Genomic DNA, 24,009 nt, shown 5'->3' on the forward strand with positions numbered 1-24,009 from the left:
ATTCATGGCTTTATGTTAAGCCAACATATGTCCGTTGCAGAGCTGATGCTAATAATTTAGAATTCAGTTTTTTTTAGCAGTTCACATTCACTCATAACAACTCAGTATCATTTGCTAAATAAAGAGGCTTTGGTATCATTCATAAAAGAAAATTAGGAATATTATTAAAATATGGTAGTATAAGCTCTCTAGTGTATTAGATAAGCTCTCTAATGTATTGTAGTTTGTTTGAACTTCATACGGCTGCAGAAATGAATCAACATTCAACCCAGACTTTTGTGAATAGAGTATGAGAAATGATGTTATTGAATCTTTACATCCCTGGAAGCTTGTCTAATAAATTGAGTAGTTGTCACACTGAGTTTTGTACAATTCATATCATAAAAATATAACTATTATATTTATGTTCTACTGTACTCCACAAGCTCATTAGAGATAACCAGTGCTAGTTTTAAAAGTGAAATGGGCCGGGCACAGTGGCTCACGCTTGTAATCCTAGCACTTTGGGAGGCCAAGGTGGGCGGATCACCTGAGTTCAGGGGTTCGAGACCAACCTGGCCAATATGGTGAAACCCTGTCTCTACTAAAAATACAAAAATTAGCCAGACATAGTGGTGCATGCCTGTAATTCCAGCTACTCAGGGGGCTGAGGCAGGAGAATCGCTTGAACCCGGGAGGTGGAGGTTGCAGTGGGCCGAGATCACGCCACTGCACTCCAGCCTGGGCAACAGAGTGAGACTCCATCTCAAAATAATAATAATAATAATAATAATAATAATAATAATAAATACATAAATAAAAATGAAGGAAGTTTACAGTGTTTATCTTCTTTTGGGGTTAAACTGTTTTTACAGAGTCAAGGTTATTGAAATTTATTTGTAGCAGAGATGGGTGAATAATAAACAGTTTTTTCCAGACATGTAATACAAGCTGTCTGATGGCTTCTATCTGCGTGCCTTAGAAACAAAGACATCTCTGAGCTGCAGGAGAGGGGACTGGAGTGAAGCACCTCCAACTAGTAAATACTGAAGAATACAGTCCTAACACATATAGGACATATATAGGAATCACAGTGACTGATTACACTAACTAGATTGCTTCTGAAATACCAGTACCATTTTAAGTCCTGATCTGAGTGGGTTTCATATGCCTCTGTTCTGTCTTTCATATTTAATATATTGCATTTTGTTTTAGAGACAGAACAAAGTCTATTGCGTAAGACAATAAAAAGATTATCTTTGGGCAATTCCCATAACAGACTTTCTGTTTTAACAAATCTCTTAAGTTACTGGAGCTGTCTTATTTATTTTTAGAGATGTTTTTACATTGTAGAAAAGTACACGAGTACCCCTATGTATTGACCACCAAGATGAGTTTTTAGTTTTTTTTTTTTTTTTTTCTAAGAGACAAGGTATTAGTCTGTTACCCAGCCTGAAATGCAGTGGTGCTATCAGAGCTCGCTCAAACTCCTGGGCTCAAGTGATCCTCCTGCCTCAGCTTCCCAAGTAGGACTATAGTCATGTGCCACCATGCCCAGCTAATTTTTTAAAAAATTCTTTTTTGTGAAAACAAAAAATCCTACTATGTTGCCCTGACTTGTTTCAAAGTCCTGGCCTCAAGTGATCCTCCCACCTTGGCCTCCCAGAGTGTTGGGATTACAGCCATGAGCCATCATACCTGGCTATAATTTCTAATATATATGCTTTTTGAAGTAAAATATATAAGAGCAGTTTTATCACTTATTTTTTCATTTAGTATTTTTTCTGAGCATTTTGTTATTAATTTTTTTAAAACAATTTTTAATAACTGCAAAATATTTTATCGTATGGATATACCATAATTTTACTGGTTTCCTATTATTAGACATTAAGGAAGCCTCTGGAATGTCATTTAAAAAACACAGAAAGTATTGTACATGAATGTTTTGTACTCTATCCAATTAATTCCTAAAGATGAATTACCAAAAATTAAAGTACTGGGTGCAAGATATGAACATTTTTTAAGGTTCATACAATACTTTTCAAATAATTATATTTTAACACAGTATTTCATCAAGTTGGAGACCTTATAACTTTTTCAAAGGATATATGAAAACTGTCTGTCACCCAGGCTGGAGTGCTATGGTGCGATCTTGGCCCACTGCAACCTCCGCCTCCTGGGTTCAAGCAATTCTCCTGCCTCAGCCTCCCGAGTAGCTGGGATTACAGGTGCCCGCCACCATGCCCAGCTAATTTCTTTGTATTTTTAGTAGAGATGGGGCTTCACCATGTCTGGCAGGCTGTTCTTGAACTCCTGACCTCAGGTGATCTGCCCGCCTTGGCCTCCCAAAGTGCTGGGAATACAAGCATAAGCCACCACGCCCAGTCAAAAATCTTATTTTATAAAAAAAAGCAATTGACCCTCATTTTGGGGTCTGCTTCAATAAATCTTTCTCATTGAAGGAGCTCATCCTCACTAGTCTCCTTCCTTGTTAGATTCACTCTTGCAAAACAAAAATATGATAATGTATATCTGCGTACTGGACATATGAATCAATCTCTAATTTATCAGGTGTAAGGCCACAGCCCTTCAGTAATAGAGTCTTGCCTTTAATAAGATCTGGAATAACAAAACAAAATAATTCTTTATGAACTCTAGCTGGGGAGTACCGTTATTAGTCCTTGAAGTTAAAAAACTGTCCTTGTTTTGTAATAAGTTAATTGTAACACTAGTGGTGATATTTTATCTAGTAGTCTAAATTCCTGCCTCCACTGGCAGGAACTTCACTTCTTTTTAACTTGATCAAATGTCCAATTTTAGAATAACAGAGAAAAAAGAGAAAAGGAAAAAAAAAGAATTAACAGATGGTTAGAGCTTGTTTTATACTGATTCTTAATATTTTTCCCTCTAGGATACAGAAAACGTTTCTTTAGTCCCTTCCAACTTAATCATCCTTGCCTCCATACAGAAATCCCAAGGTGCCCTAGGTGGTTCACAGTGTTAACTGCAAGCGCTTATATCTGTCAGGCCTTTGTTTGGAGGCTAGAGCAGGAACATCACATGATACACAGGAAAAGATTCTGTGTTCTTGCCTATTCACATGTGACCCACCAGAGTTTGTCAAGAGTCTTCTGTATTTTAATAATGCATTTCCAAGAACTTACTTTGCTTTCATCTAAACTACCTTGTAACTTCCTTAGGGGAAAATTGTATGCATTTCTATTTGGAAGTAAAATGGAAAAGACATTATTTTATCCTAGAATGTGAGTTACATTTTTACGTCTGCATAGAATTCTGAGGGGTTATTGATGGGACCTACCTTGGCCTTTGAAGCAGGAAAAGAATTCTCAGGGAATTGGGTGGGCCAGGACAGAGGCAGGGGAGTGCTGCCACATGCGGCATAAGATTTCAATAATGCTATTTGTTTGTGTCTGTGTTGAAGGGAGGAAGAATGGTGGTAGAGAAGGGAATAGGTGACTTTTCAGATAATCTGAGTACAAACAAAGACACAACCTGAAAGGAGGGAACTATCAGCTTCCCAGTTTGCCCTGAAATTCCCCCTCCCTATTTGCTCCGAAAATTCTGGCCCACTTAGATCCTCTTTCTTTAAGAATTTGTAGTGCATGTAATTATAGATTTTCTGACACATTGCTTTAATTTTTTTTTTTTTTTTTGAGATGGAGTCGTGCTCTGTGGCCCAGGCTGGAGTGCAGTGGAGCAATCTCGGCTCACAGCAACCTCTGCCTCCTGGGTTCAAGTAATTCTCCTGCCTCAGCCTCCTGAGTAACTGGGATTACAGGTGCCTGCCACCAAGCCTGGCTAATTTTTTGTATTTTTAGTAGAGATGGGGTTTCACCATGCTGGCCAGGCTGATCTTGAACTCCTGACCTCAAGTGATCCGCCCACCTCAGCCTCCCAAAGTGCAGGGATTACAAGTATGAGCCACTGCACCAGGCCTAATTATTTTTTTTTTAATGTGAATATTTGCAAAGGGATTAAGAAATCAGGCTCTGGAGGCAGGTCAACTTTGGATGAATCTGGGCTCCATGACTGCATGACCTTGGGCAAGCTACTTAACCCTGGTGCCCCAGTTTCCTCTGTTTAAAATGGGAATAGGCTAGGTGTGGTGGCTGACACCCATAATCCCAGTGCTTTGGGAGGTCAAGGTGGGAGGATTGCTTGAAGCCAAGAATCCAAGACCAGCCTGGGCAACATGGTGAGACCCCATCTCTACAAAAAATTTTTTAAAATTAGCCAGGTGTGGTAGCACATACCTGTGGTCCCATTTGCTTGGGAGGCTGAGGTAGGAGGATCACTTGAGCCCGGGAGATCAATGCTGCAGTGAGATGTGATAGTACCAGTGTGCTCTAGCTTGGGTGACAGAGTGAGACCCTATCTCAAAAATAAATAAATTAATTTAAAAAAAAATTTTAATGAGGATATTAATAGTACTTGCCTCATTAGGTTATTATGGATAAAGTACTTTGCCAGCAAAATTAATACATATTCATTGTAGAAAAGCAGATAATATAGGAAATGAGCAGAAAAGAAGATAATCCTCTCCAGTCTTTCTACCCATAGGTAACCACTATTTCTTGTATATTTTTTTGTATACACAGTGGACATCATACTCTTCATGCTGTTTTATAACTTTGTCCCCTAATAATATATCATGAGGGTTTTCCCATTCTACTCAATTTTCAAAATCATTATATTTAAAACATAGAGCTACACTGAGTAGATATAGTTATGTATTTATTAAGCTGTTTCCATAGTGTTGAACCTTTAGGTGGTTCTAGTTTTTTATTTTTATATGTAATGCTTGAACAAACATTTTTTGTACATTAATTTCACACTTGAGGTTACTTTCCTTGAAGAGAAATGGAATTACTGAGTCAAAAGATATTTACTTATAGTTTTCAGACTTTTGACACATATTGCCAAATTTCCTCCTAGAAATTTTGCCAGCAATACATGAGAATTTGTTGTCTTGCCTTTTTGTCAGTATTGATTATTCTTGGTTTTTAAACTTTCAACTTGATAGATAAAAACATTTTATCTTATCATTTTATTCTTCTTTGATTATAAAGAAGGCTGAATATTTTGTACGTTTTTAGCCTTTGTATTTTTATTCTGTATGTATGTGAAATGCCTGTGAATTTTTTGTGCACATTTTTCTTTCAAAATCTTCACCTTCCTGTAAATTGTGAATTTGTAAGAGGTTTTTTTTGTTGTTTGTGTGTTTGTTTGGTTTGTTTTTTGAGACAAGGTCTCACTCTGTCACCTAGGCTAGAGTGCTGTCGTGTGATCATGACTCACTGCAGCCTCAACCTCCCAGGCTCAAGCAATCCTCTCACCTCAGCATCTCAAGAAGCTGGGATAACAGGCCCGTGCCACCAAACCCGGCTAATTTTTAATCTTTTTATAGAAATGGGGTCTTATCTTGTTTTCCAGGCTGGTCTTAAACTCCTGAGCTCAAGTTATTCTCCCATATTGGCCTCCCAAAGTGCTGGGATTTCAGGTGTGAGCCACTGTGCCTGGCTAGAGATTTTTATATAGAAAAGCTGTCAGTTGACTTCACAAGATTTTTTTCAAGCAAGCTGGGTGCAGTGGCATGTGCCGTAGTCTAGCTGTTCAGGAAGCTGAGGCAGGAGTAGTACTTGGGCTCAGGAGTTCAAGTCTAGCCTGGGCAACATAGCGAGACCCTGTCTCCTAATTAAAAAAAAAAAAGACTTAGTTTCAACAACTTTGTTAAATTAAGGTTGGTCAATTAAGCTTCATTCATGAGGTCTCTTAGAGAAAAACAACAAATCAGTGGATATTTATATTATAGTATATGGGGTATATTATTTATAGATATGCTGGGACATTTTTTTCTCTGAGTACACCAAGTACTTGTTGGTAAGTTGATTTAACTTTTGGAGTTTGCTTTGTTGGTGGAATACACTTCTTCATTCATCCTGATTGGGTGTTATGAATCCCATTTTGTGTGATGCTTATGATTATCTTGGTTGATTCCTTAACTATTTACTAGACACTATCTTAGTATTTTAACTCTTAACAGTCAGCCACAGGGTTTATGCACTGTACTTTTCAGTAGCTCCCCATGTAGATCAAAAGTCAAGATGGAAGGCCCACAGATTTTGTGGTTTTAGAGCAGTGTTCATAATGCTTAGTATCACAGTGCTTTCTATGACTGGAAAGGTGGGATTCTTAGAAAGACTGCAGCAGTTCCAAAAGATTTATGTTTCACTGGTTCTCTTTGGAGAGTTATCCCAAGAGCTCCCCCTCTGTGGGCAGATAGATGATTGTTGCTCAGCCTTCTACACATACAACTCCTGCAGCTTCTTATGTTGCGGGAGGCATTCATCTGTGCAGCATTGTAGGGTCTGAACATGAAGCATATATTTCGTGAAACCTGGAGCTGAAGTGAATTCTCTTAGAGTATATTTTGAAACTGTACTAGGACTTTAAACACTTTTGGAATTTAAAACAGCCATAAAAATTCTTGTTATACTGAAGGAGTTCCTGAGGCAGTGTGCCTCTCATTTTACCACCTAAAGTTGCCCATAGAGGTCCAAGGAGACACTGCTGATAGCAGAAAGTCTTCCAGAAAGAAATTAGGCGACCCACACCAAGCATGTATGGCTTTGAGTCTTACAGATGGCTTTTTAATAGTTTAGTCTCTTAACCTAAGGAAGTTTCTGAAGTTCCGGTCAGAGAGTCTAAAAATTCACATTTTACCTAATAAATGATAATGAGGCTATTTATCTTGTCTGTCTGGATTTTTTCACTTGACATTTAATGAAATATCCCATATTACCTATAATTTTTATTTGAAGGTAAAAATAGACTACAGAAGAATGTGTAAAATTTGTATCAATCAGCAGAGCACAAATCAAGTTTCTACCAGTATTGCTTATAAATATTTCGATCTTATTTAGGCATGGTTAAGCTGTTTTTGATGGTTGAACTTGAAGGTTTGTTGAGAATTACATTTTTTGTCTTAATTTTTCTATTTTTAAGTGTCTGAAGCGTGGGTGTTCAACCTTTTGGCTTCCCTGGGCCACATGGGAAGAAGAATTGTCTTGGGCCACACATAAAATATGCTAACACTAATGATAGTTGATGAGCTAAAAAAAAAAAAAAAAAAAAAAAAAAGTCCGTGCATAATTTTCATGGTATCTGTCACCACAGATAAGCAAAAAACTCCCCTCATTCAAAGGGTTGGACACCTGCGGATAGCCCTTTTCTAGCTAACCTTTTGTATTTCCCTGGCCCGTAATCTGTATTTAGAATTTTTAGTAGTATTTTGACAAATATAGATGCTTTCCTAAGGCATATCATTTTGTAAAAATTGTATTGCAAACCTTTTTCTCTTGATTTTCCCTTCCTTAGCTTCTCCCTTCCTTTCCTCCCGCCCCTTACCTCCTCACCTCTCATTTATGGGTCTGTTTATTTTTCACCTTAAGAATAATGATTGTTGCCTGGGACTTGTCTTATAAATTCAGTTCTTTCTAATGAGGCACTAAAGCTGTCTCCTGGCTTTTGGGTTTTCCTGAGAACTGTTAATTACCTTTGCACTTTCCTATACCCAGCTCAAAAGTAAATTGCAGAGGGAAGAGAGGAGGATGCACCTGTTTATAAAAATGTGGTAGTTGAGCAAAATGCTTAATGGAAAATATTAACAGCATAACCTCATATAATCAACTCAATCTTGTCTAGAGTATGTTTACTGCAGTTGTAGCTGTCAAATGTTTCATGTTATATATAGACCCCTACCGTGATGCCTTTCATATCACTCTTATTTGTTGCCACTGTTTTCATTCACAACCTTAGCTCAGATCTCTGCCACATTAGCTTTTTCATTGGGCTTTTCCTGCCTCCATGTCAAATCCTTTCAATTTGTAAGTCCAACAAGCAGCTGCTGGGTTTTAATATGTCCAGAGGACTGTTAGGAGTGGGTCACTGCACACCCCTCCCAAAATTCCTCCTGAGTACAAAGTTCTTACCTACTTCCAGCCTTTTTACCATAAGCCCCAGCTTAATTTTCTAACCTTGTCAGTTGTCACCCCTGGTGATCTGTATAGTCTGCTTTCTTTTCAGCAGGTGGTACTTTTCTTACCACCCATATCTGTGCAGAGAAATCTGACCCACCTGGAAAGCTGAGACGACACCTGTCCTCTGGCATTCCTTTCCAGACCCTTCCAGCTTGCAGTGCTCCTCTGCCTTCTGTAGTTCCCGTGTCACTCGTCTGGAATTATTTTTACATTTGTGGACCCTTATTACTCTTGCCTGAGGGTAGGAACCAACTCATCCATTTCTAGGTCCCCTCAGCATACTCAAACTGCATGGCCTACAGCCTGTGCTCAGTGTGACATTCTCTTCTGGTTCTTTTCCTCGTCAATATTCTCATCTCTCCTATTGTAAAACAACAGCTACCCCAAACTCTCTCTTTACCCCAGATTCTTCTCCTTCTACAGCCATCTCTCTCTCCTTTTCTCCATAAATGGTTGTTTTAATGAGTAGCTTTGTTGATTTTCCTGATAAACAAGCTCATTCAAGAAAAAAATGCAAATAATACAGGACTTGGTGAAGGTAAAAATCTTTTAAAATGCCATCACCCAGAGATAAATTACTTTTCACTAAACATCCTCTCTCACTGCACACACATACACACACTCAATATTCATGACACACAATTTTGTATCAATGAAATCACACCTAAATGCTGTTCTATGACCTGCTTAAAAAAATTTCAACATTATACTGGGTACATCTTTACAAGCTAGTTCTTGTTAATCCTCAGGAAAACGTTACTGAAAATGGCTGTAAAGTATTCCATTATTCCAGTGAGTCAAAAATGATTAATAGGCCAAGCACAGTGGCTCTTGCCTATAATCCCACCACTTTACTAGACCGAGGTGGGAGGATCGCTTGAGCCCAGAAATTCAAGATCAGCCTGGGCAACATAGCGAGACTCTTGTCTCTACAAAAAATTTAAAAAGTTAGCCAGGCATGGTGATGAGTGCCTATAGTCCCAGATACTCAGGAGGCTGAGGCAAGAGGATTGTTTGCACCCCAGAAGTCAAGGCTGCAGTGAGCTGAGATCGTGCCACTGCAGCCTAGGTGACAAAGTGAGACCCTGCCTCAATAATAATAATAATAATGATGATGATGTACTCCCCCTTTAAATGAGCATTTCTGTTTTTTCTGTTTTGTTTTGTTTTGTTTTGTTTTTCCTCTTATAACCAGCACTATAGTGAACATCTTTTATAGCTATCTTTAGACTCTCTTTCCTCCCTGTTATCTTTTTAGGATAAATTCTTAGAAGTGAAATCGCTGGGTCAAAGTATATTTATTCTAGGTGCTGTTAATGCCCAACTGCCCATCAAAAAGGTAATGTTGTACCTAAGTAAAGTTGTGAGTGGATTTTTCACTACCCTCACCAACATGGATGTTGTCCAGTCACCCTAATCTTTACTAGTTTTATGGCTTTATATATATGTTTACATTTATATATAATGCATTTCTTTGAAGACTGAGTTTGAAAATCATTGTGTAAGTTAACGCCTGTGTGTGTGTGCACGTGCACACACTTATGTGTTTTCCTTCAATTAGACTGAAGTCTTCTGGGGACCTGAGCCTAAATAATTTCAGGTGGATCACTTGAGATCAGGAGTTCGAGACCACCCTGGCCAACATGGCAAAACCCTTTCTGTACTAAAAATACAAAAAATTAGCTGGGTGTGGTGGCAGGCGCCTGTAATCCCAGCTACTCGGGAGGCTGAGGCAGGAGAATCGCTTGAACTTGGGAGGTGGAGGTTGCCTGGATTGCACCACTGCACTCCAGCCTGGGTGATGGAGTGAGACTCTGTCTCAAAAACAACAACAACAAAAAAAAAAAAAAAAAAAAAGAGGAGATCTAGGCAGGAAGTTAATTGCTGGAGTTACTAGCACCTGGAAGGTCATTGAAGCCACGAGACTGGATGGGACCCCTAGAGAGTAAGTATATATAGACAGGAGGCCCAAGGACTGAGCCTGTGGATTACCTAATGTTACAGCTGGGGAGAGGAGGAAAAGCCAGCAAAAGAATGTGGGAAAGAGTGGCCGGAAAGTTAGGAAGGAAATAGGTATGTGTTTATCTGTGTGTTAGTGTGTATGTGTGGGTGTGTGTGTGTTTTACTGAAAGCTGAGCAAAGTTAAGGAGAAAGGATTCACATTTCAAATCCTGGATCAAGTTAGTCCAGGAGTGAGAACTGACATTTGAGCTTAGCAATGTGGAAAACACCAAGACCTTGATAAGAGCAATTGTAGTGGGGTGGCCGAAGGAAAGCCTGACTGGAGTGGCTTCAAGATAGAGAAGGAGGGAGGCCGAGGCAGGAGAATTGCTTGAACCCAGGAGGCAGAGTTTGCAGTGAGATGAGGTCACGCCATTGCACTCTAGCCTGGGCAACAAGAGCGAAACTCCATCTCAAAAAAAAAAAAAAAAAAAAAAAAAGAGAGAGAGAGAAGGAGGAGAGAAAGTGAAGTCATAAGTGTAGACCACTCCTTCTGAGGGAGAATCCACCCCACCTTCCTCCTAGCTTCTGGTGGTTGCTGGCAATCTTTGGCGTTCCCTAGCTTGCAGATGCAGCACTCCAATCCCTGCTTTCATCTTCTTAGGGTGGTCTCCCTATGTACATGTCTCTGTGTCCTAATTTCCCCATTCTATAAGACACAAGTCACATTGGATTAGGACTCACAGTAATGACCTCATCTTAATTTGATCATCTTCAAAGACCCTATTTGCAAATAAGTTCACATTCTGAGATAATAGGAGTTAGAACTTCAGCTTATCCTTTTGGGGGGCACCCAATTCAATCCATAACAGCAACCCGTTAAGCTCCCACATTGTTTCAAATAGTTTATTTGACTTTCTTGGATCTTTGGGATATGTAATATATACATTGGAAATCATTTTGTTGGTTTTCTACTTTGTAAAGTCTGTAACTTGAATTTTGCTCCCTTGTCTAATTTTGTTTTACTTTAACCTCCTTGAAAGATCTGACTACACTTATGATTTCTATTTCTTGACTCCTGGGTCTTTGCCACCCACTGAAACCACTGTGTTCTGTACCATTAACCACTAGCCTGAGTTATGGAACGCTTATAGAAGTTCTTGTTGGCAGAGCTCTAATCTAAACTGAATAAGCACCTTACCTTACCTGTAGGGAATTAGGCTTAAAAATTGAAAGACCACTCAGTCTCACTGGCCCACGTTGGAGTATCTGCCTTGGCCCTGTGAACTGGAGCTCATCCCATTCAGAGACGGTTCTGCCGGTGCCCTGGTTACCTTGGCTCATACGTGGCTAGGAAGAGCCCCAGAGGAACGGTGGTCACTGCCTGCTCCCCAGCCTCCCATCCACCCCCATGGTCACTGTCCGCATGGTCACTGTCCTTGCTCTGTGTTTTCATGGTGGACTACTTATACTTTTTATTTAATAGAGTTTCTTTAAATCGGAGATTATTAGATTTTTTTTCCCTAATCTCGCATCCCAAATTTCAAATTCAGGCATGCTATATAAGTTTTTCCTCCCTTGCCTATACCTTTTAATCTTACATAGCCATTGCTGTAGGTCTAGAGAATTTATTTAACAGCATATTGTTTCATTAAAAAAAATTTGGCCAGGAGCAGTGGCTCACACCTGTAATCCCAGCACTTTGGGAGGCTGAGGTGGATAGATCACCTGAGGTCAGGAGTTTGAGATCAGCCTGGTCAACATGGTGAGACCCTGTCTCTACTAAAAATACAAAAATTAGCCAGGCATGGCGGCGTATGCCCATAATCCCAGCTACTCGGGAGGCTGAGGCAGGAGAATCGCTTTAACCTGGCGGTGGAGTGAGCCAAGATCGCACCATTGCACTCCAGCCTGGGCGATAGAGTGAGACTCTGTCTAAAAAAAAAAAAAAAGAAAGAAAGAAAAAGTAATTTTTACTCTAAAGGTGTTACTTCTTGTTTACTTTTCCTTTTAAATCTCATCTTTATTCTCATCCTTTAAAGATTATCTAAGTCTCACCAGAAAATTTCTGCATACCAAAAATATAGTGTTTACTAATCAAGTATAACAACATTATACTTTTGTAAAGTAATGTCTTATGTTACCAATTTGGATGATTTTTCTAAACATTGTTTTCAGGCACTGTTAGTCCAGTTAATGGTGAGAGTTTAGGCTTAAAAACTGTCAACTTGTAGCTAGGTGTGGTGGCTCACGCCTGTAATTCTAGCACTTTGGGTGGCCGAGGTGGGTGGATCACTTGAGGTCAGGAGTTCGAGACCAGCCTGGTCAACATGGTGAAACCTCATCTCTACTTAAAAAAAAAAAAATTAGCAGGATGTGGTGGCACATGCCTGTAATCCCAGCTACTTGGGAGGCTGGGGCAGGAGACTCGCTTGAACCCAGGAAGCAGAGGTGAGAAGTGAGCCAAGATCGTGCCACTGCACTCAAGCCTGGACAACAGAGTGAGACCCTGTCTCAAAACAAAACAAAACAAAAATTTTCAATTTGTAATGGCATAGATGAAAGAGAAACAGGTGGCAGTGTTTATGTGTCAAACTTCTCCAAATAGACGACTGTCTCACCTTTTGAAACCCTGTCTCAAAAAAACAAAACAAAACAAAACAAAACAAAACACCTGAAAACTTACTGGGTCTTGTTCAGTGACACCCTCCCAGGATAGCCTGTGCCTAGAGTGTGAACACACTGCCTATAGATTCTTCCAGAAAACCTCACAGTGAAGGGTGTTGATGGACAAGAGAGCTGTGTGTGATGCTACACAGCTCACCCAACTTCTTTTATCTTTTTTCCCACATCTCTGTAGCTGTCATTAGCTTGAGGTAGAGAAAAAATGTTCAGAATGTACAGTGATCCCTAAACAAATTATTAACAGAGGTCATAAAGGCATTTCAATCTGAGGATATCTAACATGAATAACTTTTAGACTCACTCTGTCACCCAGGCTGGAGTGCAGTGGCGGGATCTCGGCTCACTGCAAGCTCCACCTCCTGGGTTCATGCCATTCTCCTGCCTCAGCCTCCTGAGTAGCTGGGACTACAGGCGCCTGCCACCACGCCTGGCTAATTTTTTGTAGTTTTAGTAGAGACGGGGTTTCACTGTGTTAGCCAGGATGGTTTCGATCTCCTGACCTTGTGATCCACCTGCCTCAGCCTCCCAAAGTGCTGGGATTACAGGTGTGAGCCACCGCTCCCAGCCTTTCTCATCTTTTTAAATCTGAAAACTGCCCACTACAGTGTTGCACTGGATGTAGTCCAGTGTGCACATCCACCCACAGTGAAAGTGAAACCAACCATGAGTTGAATGAAGTATTATGGGAGTGTTTGTGGGAAGCCTGACAAACCTAAAGTTTGCCTCTCATTTTCTAGTGTAGTAGTGGATTCTTGGTACGGTTATAAGCTGTTCTAGACAGTGCGAAATCTAGTGTTGATTTCACTTTGATTTGAAATTATTTGTGTTTTTACTTTGGCTCCTTTACAGCCAGAGTAAAACTTAACTTATATTCTTGTATTCCAAGTTTAACTTATTTTCCAAGTTTAGCTTAACCTATATTCTTGACCTGATCAGAATTTTTGGACTTTGGGTCAACCATAAAGAGGCTCAATATATAATGAGAAATTTGTCTCACTTTAAGTTGTCAGAAAGCAGCACCCAAAACGCTCTATGTAAAACATGAATAGATGCATGAAAATACAACTTATTTAAGAAACAAACCCAAGGAGCCCAAACCTAAAATCTGGACCTTTCTTACTTAAGCAAAAATATCAGAGTCATGCACGTATGACTCTTATTCCATGACTGTCTTCAAATTGACTCATCACATCCCTGTTTTCAAATTAAATAGTTGCCATATTCTAAATTCTGTTTATGAAGTTAGGAGGTAAACAGAAAACAATCTAAAACCTGCTTATTTCAATTGATTCTGTTTGTTAGCATATCTGTACTGGCATGAATATGATTGGAACATGCAGAGTTGTAGCACACCCTTATTTCTGGTTGATTGCCAAAAATAAAGACATCAAAGAAAATAGAAAAACTGGGCAACAAATCATAACTGCATAGGTTTTTAAATTTAGTAGTTATTCTAGATCTCTCTCCATAGCTTTTCTGAATGAAACTGTCCCTCTCACAGCCCCCAGCCTCCCACTGTCCTAGATAGATGAGGTGATTGTTCTCACCACCTTTGGATTTGTACATGTGTGGCATTGTTTTCATAGGACAGATTCCCAGATGTGGAAATGCTCAAAGAGAGTGAACATTTAACAAATACTGCCAGATTGTCCTCCAGAAAGGTTGTACCCATGTGCACATCCACCCACAGTGAAAGTGAAACCAACCATGAGTTGAATGAAGTATTATGGGAGTGTTTGTGGGAAGCCTGACAAACCTCAAGTTTGCCTGCCATTTTCTAGTACAGTAGTGGATTCTTGGTATGGCTATAAGCTGTTTTAGACAGTGTGAAACAATTTACAGGTATCTTTAGCAAAGAACATTTTCATAGGTACTTTTACATGAAAAGTGTTATAATATTAAAGAATCTTTTAAAATAATGCATAATGCCACTCTTGATACATTTTCATCTTTTGTAGATTATCATCTACATGTGAATATATTTTACCAGTTATAATTAATATGTGTATGTTTTTGTGTTTTTGTTTTTTTGTTTTGTTTTGTTTTGTTTTTTTAAGACGGATTCTTGCTTTGTTGTCCAGACTAGAGTGAAGTGGCTTGATCCTGGCTCACTGCAACCTCCGCCTCCTGGGTTCAAGCAATTCTCCTGTCTCAGCCTCCCGAGTAGCTGGGATTATAGGCGTGCACCACCATGGCCAGCTAATTTTTGTATTTTTTTTAGTAGAGACAGGATTTCGCCATGTTGGCCAGGCTGGTCTCGAACTCTTGACCTCAGGTGATCCGCCCACTTTGACCTCCCAAAGTGCTGGCACCCAGCCAATATGTGTGTATTTTTATCTTTGACTTTTTCCACAAAACTGTCTTATAAGCTGTTTCCTGTTTCTCCATATCTTTCATCATGGCTATTTAAAAGCTGCATGTTGTATTTTGTTATTATACCATACTTTGTTAATTCAGTTCTTAATATTGAATATTTAATATAAAACTAGATACTTAAACTGCATGTTCTTAAGTGATAAGGTTGATTGGTTTGATGTGGTTATAAAAGTAATACAGTGCTTATAGAAAAATTTGGAAGACACAAAAAAATAGGATGACACATACAAATTGTCCTGTAACTCCTGTTAATAAATTCTGTGAGCATTAGGATGTATTTCCTTCCTGTCTTTTCTTAATATTTTATTTTCTTGTTTTATAGTCTGCAACCATGCTATTTGTGAACAACATTCATTTTTACATGTTTTAAACTCTTTTCAAATATCATTTTTCCTTTTTTAAAAAATATGAAAGGTTTTTGTTTTGTTTTGTTTTTTGAGACGGAGTCTCGTTCTGTCGCCCAGGCTGGAGTGCAGTGGCACAATCTTGGCCCCCTGCAAGCTCCGCCTCACGGGTTCACGCCATTCTCCTGCCTCAGCCTCCCAAGTAGCTGGGACTACAGGCACCCCCTACCACGCCCGGCTAATTTTTTGCATTTTTAGTAGAGACGGGGTTTCACCGTATTAGCCAGGATGGTCTCGATCTCCTGACCTCGTGATCCACCCACCTCGGCCTCCCAAAGTGCTGGGATTACAGGCGTGAGCCACCGTGCCCAGCCGGTGAAAGGTTTTTTTTCTTCTGGTGAAAGTAATTTGAAATTGTTACTGTAAATTGAGAAATAATCCCAGTCATCTATAATTCCATCACCTAGAGGCAAACATCATGAATAATTTGGTTTATTACCTTCACATATTTTTCTCTTAAAAAAAAATTTGAGATCATACACCATCATTGTTTCTTAATTAGGGGGTGGTCATGGACCTTTTTAAAAATCTGAAAAAATCCAAATTAAGAATTCTTTTTTGGCTGGGCACGGTGGCTCATACCTGTAATCCCAGCAGTTTGGGAGGCCGAGGCGGGCGGATCATGAGGTCAGGAGTTTGAGACCATCCTGGCTAACATGGCGAAACCTCATCTGTACTAAAAATACAAAAAATTAGCCAGGCGTGGTGGCGGGTGCCTGTAGTCCCAGCTACTCGGGAGGCTGAGGCAGGAGAATGGCATGAACCCGGGGGGTGGAGCTTGCAGTGAGCCGAGATTGTGCCACTGCACTCCACCCTGGGCGACAGAGCGAGACTCCGTCTCAAAAAAAAAAAAAAAAAAGAATTCTTTTTCAACCAAGTGGCCAGTTGAAAAAAATTTTTTTAATTAAAAAAAAGAAAAAATAGAAGTCTTACCATATACATACATTGATACCCACCCTTTCCCCCTATTAAACGTGATAAAGTAGGCATTTCTGTATAATTATGAACTCATAAATATGCACATTTTCTGATTATTGTGCATTGAATTATCTCTGTCCTCAAATTCATATGTTGAAGTCCTAATCCCCAGCACCTCAGATTGTGACCTTATTTAGAGATGGGATCTCTACAGAGCTAATCAAGCTAAAATGAGGTCAGTAGAGTGGACCTTGATCCAATATGATTGGTGTCTTTATAAAAGGAGGAAATTCGCTAGGCACGGTGGTTCATGCCTGTAGTCCCAACTACTCAGGAGGCTGAGGTGTGAGGATGGCTTGAACCCAGGGGTTCTGGGCAGTAGTGTGCTATGCCAATTGGGTGTCCAAACCAGCATCAATATGATAACCTCTCAGGAGTGGGGGACCACCAGGTTGCCTAAGGAGGGATGAAGTGACCCAGGTCAGAAATGGAGCAGGTCAAAACTCCCTTGCTGATCAGTAGTGGGATAGCACCTATGAATAGCCACTGCACTCTAGTCTGGGCAACATAGTGAGACCCTGTCTCTAAAAAAAAAATTTAATTGGCCGGGCACGGTGGCTCACGCCTGTAATCCCAGCACTTTGGGAGGCTGAGGCGGGCGGATCACCTGAGGTCAGGAGTTCAAGACCAGTCTGGCCAACATGATGAAACCCCATCTCTACTAAAAATACAAAAAATTAGCCAGGCGTGGTGGTGTGCACCTGTAATCCCAGCCGGGGTGAGGAGGCGGGGAGGGGGCGGGGTGGTGCTGAGACAGGAGAATTGCTTGAACCTGGGAGGCGGAGATTGGGATGAGCTGAGATTGCACCACTGCACTCCAGCCTGGGCGACAGAGTGAGACTCTGTCTCAAAAAAAAAAAAAAAGAGGAAAAATACTTAATTAAAAAAAAAATTTTTTTAAAAGAAATGAGACATACATAGAAGGAATATGAGGTGAAGAGACATAGAGAAGATGGCCATTTACAAGCTAAGAAGAGGGGCCTGAAAAGATGTTTCCCTCACAGCCCTCGGAAGTAGCCTACCCTGCTGACACCTTTATTTCAGATTTCTAGCATCCAGAACTGTGAGACAGTAAGTCTCTGTTGTTTAAGCCACCCAGTTTACATAATGCAGACATTTGGATGAATATTTACTTTGTGCTAGGCATTGCACTAGGTTTAGGAATACTAAGTCAAAGAAGTCAAGTTCTCTGTCTCGAAGGTACCTAGATTGGCATGTGCATAAAGAACCCTGGGGTTGTGCAATTTTGGGCGATAAACAGGGCATCATGGGAGGCTAGGTTAGGCAAGGGTCAGGGAAGATTTCCCGGGGATGTATCACTTGAGCTGAATTTTGAAGAACCACTGGGAGCTTACTTAACTATTTTTCTGTTATTGGACACTAGGATGTTTCCGGTTATTCATTTTTACAAATGAGAACTTCCCTGTGTTTTTGGATTATTTCTTTAGGATAGATTCTCAGCAACGTACCACTACTGAGACAAGAATATGAAACCAGAAACATCATTTGAAGGCAGCATAATATTCTACCAGATGGAGCTTTCCTGGCTCATTGAATCATCTTCTTTTATTGGATAGCAGTCCCCCTAATGTTCTGTTTCCAGTGTTTTGTTATTATAAATAGTGCTGTAGCATACATTTTTTGCATAAAGCCTTTTTCCATAATTAGAATTATTTCTTTTTTTATTTTTTATTTTTATTTATTTATTTATTTATTTATTTATTATTATTATACTTTAAGTTTTAGGGTACTTGTGCACAATGTGCAGGTTAGTTACATATGTATACATGTGCCATGCTGGTGTGCTGCACCCATTAACTCATCATTTAACATTAGGTATATCTCCTAATGCTATCCCTCCCGCCTCCCCTAGAATTGTTTCTTTAGTGATTGAATCATAGAAATAGAATTACAGTATGAAAAAGGTTTACTTACTTTTCAAAAATACTGACATTCTCAGTAATAATCAAGTGAAATTTATTAACAAATTAATTTGATTTATTATAGTCTTTATATTGTTTGGGGTGTGTTAAAACAGTTTAATACTTCCTGCTTTTAAAGACTGAAACTTTCCTAGAAAGTAAAGTTTGGTTTGTATCACGTGTGATGAAGAACCCCTTTTCTTTAAGTTCCTCCTCCACCTAAAAGAAACTTGCTTTATAAAGGGCACAATACTGTCACAAACTTGCCCACACAATTTCTGTGCTGGTTTCTCACCAGCTGGTGTGTATATTGCATCGGCCTCTGTTCATACTCTCCTAGATTGTTGTCTGTCTGAAAGGTAACTATCCCAGAAGATCAGCCTTCCAAGTGAGCTATTTCTGTTCTATTTTGTGTGTCTTTCAAAATGACTCCTGCATTCTCCACCAGACTCAAAATCCCATTTATGTTGGCAGCATATCTACTGTAATAGAGTAACAGAGAACTGCAGTTATGGTGACACATGGGAATAGGGGCGCATGAAGGAGCCAGGTCAGGAATGACAGGGTGCTCTGTCCCAGTGAGGGGAGGGTTTGCCAGCAAGGATTGTATTGTTCCCTTCATCTCAAAAGTGAGTATGAGTACATTTTAGTCACTTAACAAAGTAATAAACATCAAGGGCTACTTATATATTTTGTATATTTTTTATATATTTTATATATTTTTTGTATATTTTGTATATATAGTTTTGTATATTTTTAAAAAAGATATCCTCCTCACTAATTACTTTTTAAAAATTTTACTTTTAAAAATCAGAAAAAAAAAATGCAAAGTTGGCTAGAAATAGTGGCTCATGCCTTGGCACTTTGGGAGGCCAAGGCAGGAGGATCACTTGAGGCCAGGAGTTTGAGACCAGTCTGGGCAACATAGTGAGACCACATCTCTACATTTTTTTTTTGTTTTTTTTTGCTGGGCATGGTGGTGCATGCCTGTAGTTTCAGCTACTTGAGAGGCTGAGGTGGGACGATCACTTGAGCCCAGGAGGTTGAGGCTACAGTGAGCCATCATTGTGCCACAGCACTTCAGCCTGGGTGACAGAGTAAGACCCTGTCTCAAAAAAAAAAAAAATAGAAGAAGAAGAAGAAGCAAAGTTATATGTATTTTAAATATTATAGGAGCACACAATGTAGAAAGTGTAAGTATCCCATAATCCTACCCCACAAAGATAACCCACCATGGTCTGCAGTTTAGGACATATTTCTCTAAATTTTTTCCTTGCATTTAAAAAATACAGTGATGCTCAACTTCGTTAACAAAAAATGAAATACAAAGTAAACAAAAATGAGCATCCCCCACTTTAGCTCTTAAAGATAAAACAAAAACGTAAAAACAGTAGTTATATCCATGTTGGTGGCCACATAGCAAAATGGGTACTCTCATACAATGTTGGTAGGAATATAAATTGGTTCAAATTGAACATCTCAAACCTGAAAATCTGAAATGCTCCAAAATCCAGAAATTTTTGAGTGCCAACATGACGCTCAAAGGAAATGCTTATTGGAGAATTGTAGATTTTGGATTTTGGGATTTGATATGTTCAAAGTATAATACAAATATTCCCCAACCCCCCAAAATTCAAAATCGGAAACACTTCTGATTCTAAGCATTTCAAATTAAAGGATACTCAACCGTATAATCTATTTAGAGGGCAATTTGTCAGTAATGATCAAAATTTTATGTGTAACACATGTCATGTGCATTTCCTCTGTTGACTTTAGAAAAAGAGGAATGTTGATAGCTGTTTTATAATAATGTTATTAGCAATAGTGATCGTGGTAGTGGCAGGAATACTGCTGGTTGTGCTGCTTGCAGTAGTGGTACTGGTGGTACGGCTGGCAGTGCTGGTGGTACTGCTGCTGCTGCTGGTGGTGGTACTGCTGCTGGTGGTGGTACTATTGGCAGTGCTGATACTGTACCACTGATAGCACTGGTACTGGTGGTACTGGTGGTGCTGGTGATTTGAGCATTCACTGCCTTCTACTATGTGATGAAGCTTAACAAAGTCACATCCAAGTCTGCTTTGTACCCAGAACAGTGCCAGAGGGCAGTGTGGGTCAAAGCACCTCTTTTGATTCTCTCATAACATAGACAGAAAGATGAGCTTTCCAGGAGGAAAGATTTTTACCATTGCCCCTCATAAGGTGGAAATAGCTGGTGTCCATCCAAGCCCCTGCTCACACACTCAGAAGGCACTTCCTAGGAACTCCTTCCCCGCCTTTGCTTCTAAGTCCCAGACCAGCAGTGAGATTCTGCCCTTTGAAATATTTATAACATTCAATTCACTATAAAACACTTTGTAAATGTAAGTGCTGTAAGTGGCCCAAATTATATCAGCAGCTTTTTGAGAAATGGGAAAAGGAAAAGGAATTTAAGGGAATGGGATCCAGTGAGCCAACCTTGCTATTTTCAAACCAAAATAAATGGCCGTAGATCTGCATTTTATAATTTCAGAAATGACTAATGCTTGGACTATTTTTGAGCATTATAAGAGTGGCTTCATCCCAGTATAAATCATTCTTTCTACATTACACAGATTATGTTGCTTTTTAAATCAATTTTTTTATTTCATAGTCATTTTGTTTCCAGGTCTAAAAATCCTGAAATTCCTTTCTTAAGGGGGTCCCTTTGTATCAGCCACTAAGGAAGTCATTGAAACCTAACTGGCTTCTCCCAGCACCCACTACGTAGGCTACCCTCTCCCCAGTCCTGCAGGAAAGGCCCCTTGCCCACAAATGCACAGGGGCCGGAATTTTTCATTGTTGGAAATTCTCCCCACCTTGTGTAGATACTGTCTCCATCTAATCATCACTCCTTTGTTCTGCTGTTTGGAACCCCCAGAATAAATCTACTCTTTGTATCCTTCATGTATTGAGGATGGTCATACCCCTACTCCCACCCTCAAATGATTTCTTCCTCATTGGACAGGATTCCTGGAAGTTACCCTCCTGGTTACCTACTCCACTAGGTAGAATAGTACACAGACTGTCTATTCTCCCGAGTCCCCACCAACTTGTTCATAATAATGTATTTCTGATAATGAATCCTAAAATTGAGTTTGTTAACTTGTTTTTGGCACCCACATCACACCATTGTCTCATATTGATCTATAAACAAACCAAAACTCCAGACCAGTTGCTTTTTGAGCCTAAGTGCAAGATGTAACATGCTTCTCTGAAATGTTGTCTTTTTTCCTTTGGGCTCATTCTTTCCAGACCCAGACATCTTTTGGAATTCTGATTCTGTCCAGTGGGTCTTATCTAAAGCATTCCTCTCTCCCAGCACAGTGTCCTTGGATGACTTGAAAAGCCCGCCTGGTAGATTGCTGATGTATTTACTTAGGCCCAGGGCTCTGAAGAGGGTGACAAATCTCTCATAACGAGTTTGCCAAATGCATGCTGGCAGCCCACGGATTCAAGGCTCCTTAGAGAAGGCAGAAGAACAAAACCTAGGGCCTGGCTGTCAGAGGGTGCCACAGCTGCTGGGGTGGAGAATCTGCTGGGGTGGAGGATTGGAAGAGTTTTGGTTTGGCCATTGACATGTAAATGTCAGAGAGGCCTGAGGCTGTTCCCCAGTGGACCCTCCCGCCTTCCCACACAAAGCCCTGGCTCTGTGAGGGCCATGGCTTTGCCTTTGTGAGGCCTGGGCCATCCCAGCTGCAGAGGGAAGTCCCCGTAAGTATTCACTCTTGTAAAACTGTTCCATTTTGCACTGTGGTTGTCGACAGCAAGCTTCTCCCAGCTGCATGGAGTGGGAGTGTTCTCTTTGGAATGCGCTCTTTTCTGGATATAGACATAGGTCCTTTAAAGGTTTTTGAAATGAAAATGAATACTACTAGGTGATTATTAATTTGAATTATGTAAGGAGAGAAACAGAGAGATATATTTGTGCACGTGTATGTGCATTTACAAGAACAAGATTAGCTACAAGGTTCAAAGGACTTTTTGAATTTTACCTGATATTTCTGAAGGATAATTTTATTTTTGGCATTGTGTTTTCTGTAGTCCTCCTCTCTCTCTCTGTCTCTCTCTCTCTCTCTAACCTATTTTGAGACAGAGTCTCGTGCTGTTGCCCAGGCTGGAGTGCAGTGGTGCAATCTTGGCTCACTGCAACCTCTGTCAAGCGCTTCTCGTGCCTCAGTGTCCTGAGTATCTGGGATTACAGGTGTGCCCACCACCATGCCCTGCTAATTTTTGTATTTTTAGTAGAGATGAGGTTTTACCATGTTGGCCAGGCTGGTCTCAAACTCCTGACCTCAGGTGATCCGCCTGCCTCAGCCTCCCAAGGTGCTGGAGTTACAGATGTGAGCCACCGCGGCCGGCCAAGAATGAATATTTTGAAGTGTTTTTTCTTTTTTCCTCTGAAACTTCAGTGTCCTATATTCAATATGTGAATTGTGAAATACGTGATGCGCTTACCACAGGGTAGAGGATATATGTCTTTGTCATGCTGTGGGCTTATTTTTTTTATAAGTCCTTTACTAACTGGCCAGCGATTATTTAAAATATAAATTGAGATTTCATATTCAGAATGAGGAGTACTGGATTGAGTAAGAGGAAAATCTTGATCTTAAAAAATCTTGAAGTAAAAGGTTTTGTTTGGTAAAGTTTTCCCACATAGGACTCACTTCCTTAACTGCTTACAGAGATGGTGCTTTTAAAGAAAACATTTTCTTAATAAAATACAAATGTTTTCAGATCTCTCTGTCTTTGGTACAGATGCCTTTTGCAATATGAGTTCAGTACACAGTGTGCATCCTTAAGCCTTGAATATTCAGATACATTTTTGCTCTTTTAAAAGTAATTACAGTAATAGAATTATGTTTACATTCCAGAATACCCATAATGAGATTGGAAAAAAAAGTTCAAGCAGTCAGTCTTCTATCCAGAAGCCATAAATTCTGTTATTGAGTGTGAAATCTATTCTTAATTTTTAAATGTCTTTTGCTCTAATGAACTTAATTAGTGGAGTTTGGTACAGTGGAAAGAATACTAAACAAAGTGTTTTGAGACGTGGGCTCTATCTCTAGCTACCTAGGTGGCCTTAGGTGAATGTCTTCTGGACCTCAGTGATGGACTGTATCAATGGTTCTCAACTCAGGGGCCCTTGGAAATGTTGAGTGGGAACATGTCAGGTTGCCACACTGTATGGGGGCACTAATGGTTTGGGAACCCTGGATGTTAGGCATCTTGAAATGCCCCAGACTGTCTCACCCAGCCCAATGAAGAATTGGCCCACTCCAAATATCAATGACACCCCTACGAGTAACACTGGACTAGATGATTACTTAGGTTTTTCCTGCTTTGTTACTGTCAAGTTCATAAGTGGAGTATTGGCAAGCATCTAAAATAATGTGATGCCAATACGCTCAGTGTCTGTCTCTCACATTTAGCATTGAACGCTATGTTTTCTGGGGTGAAGTCATACCCAGTAATGCTGGGTCAGGACATGCGGCTGTGGCAACTCAGATTCAGAGCTTTGTTGCTGGGAGAAATCTCTACTGTAAGCACAGAAAATACTGATATGGCTCAAAAGCAGGTGCAGAGCTGGACCTGGGTTTTTTGGTTGGCTTTGGATTATCCTTATATTCTTTCCTCAAAGGGAAGCAG

The 24,009-nt window shown here is 40.0% G+C and overlaps 1 protein-coding gene and 1 pseudogene across 15 annotated transcripts in view; both read left to right on the plus strand.

Moving 5' to 3' along the window:
• The window catches only part of ANKRD6 (ankyrin repeat domain 6), a 200,683-nt gene that overhangs the window by 28,333 nt on the left and 148,341 nt on the right, over window positions 1–24,009 (plus strand). For 7 of the 15 annotated variants that reach the window (XM_005248681.3, XM_047418398.1, XM_047418401.1 and 4 more), the window contains exon 1: window positions 21,790–22,074. The exons of the other annotated variants lie outside the window; for them this stretch is intronic. The gene's annotated coding sequence lies outside the window, so the exon portion shown is untranslated. Of the gene's footprint in view, window positions 1–21,789; window positions 22,075–24,009 lie in introns of those variants that run through there. 15 annotated transcript variants of the gene reach the window in all.
• Window positions 16,661–16,949, plus strand: RN7SL11P (RNA, 7SL, cytoplasmic 11, pseudogene; annotated as a pseudogene).

The sequence above is a fragment of the Homo sapiens genome, chromosome 6 (assembly GCF_000001405.40).
Source record: "Homo sapiens chromosome 6, GRCh38.p14 Primary Assembly".
Classification (NCBI taxonomy): Eukaryota; Metazoa; Chordata; class Mammalia; order Primates; family Hominidae; genus Homo; species Homo sapiens.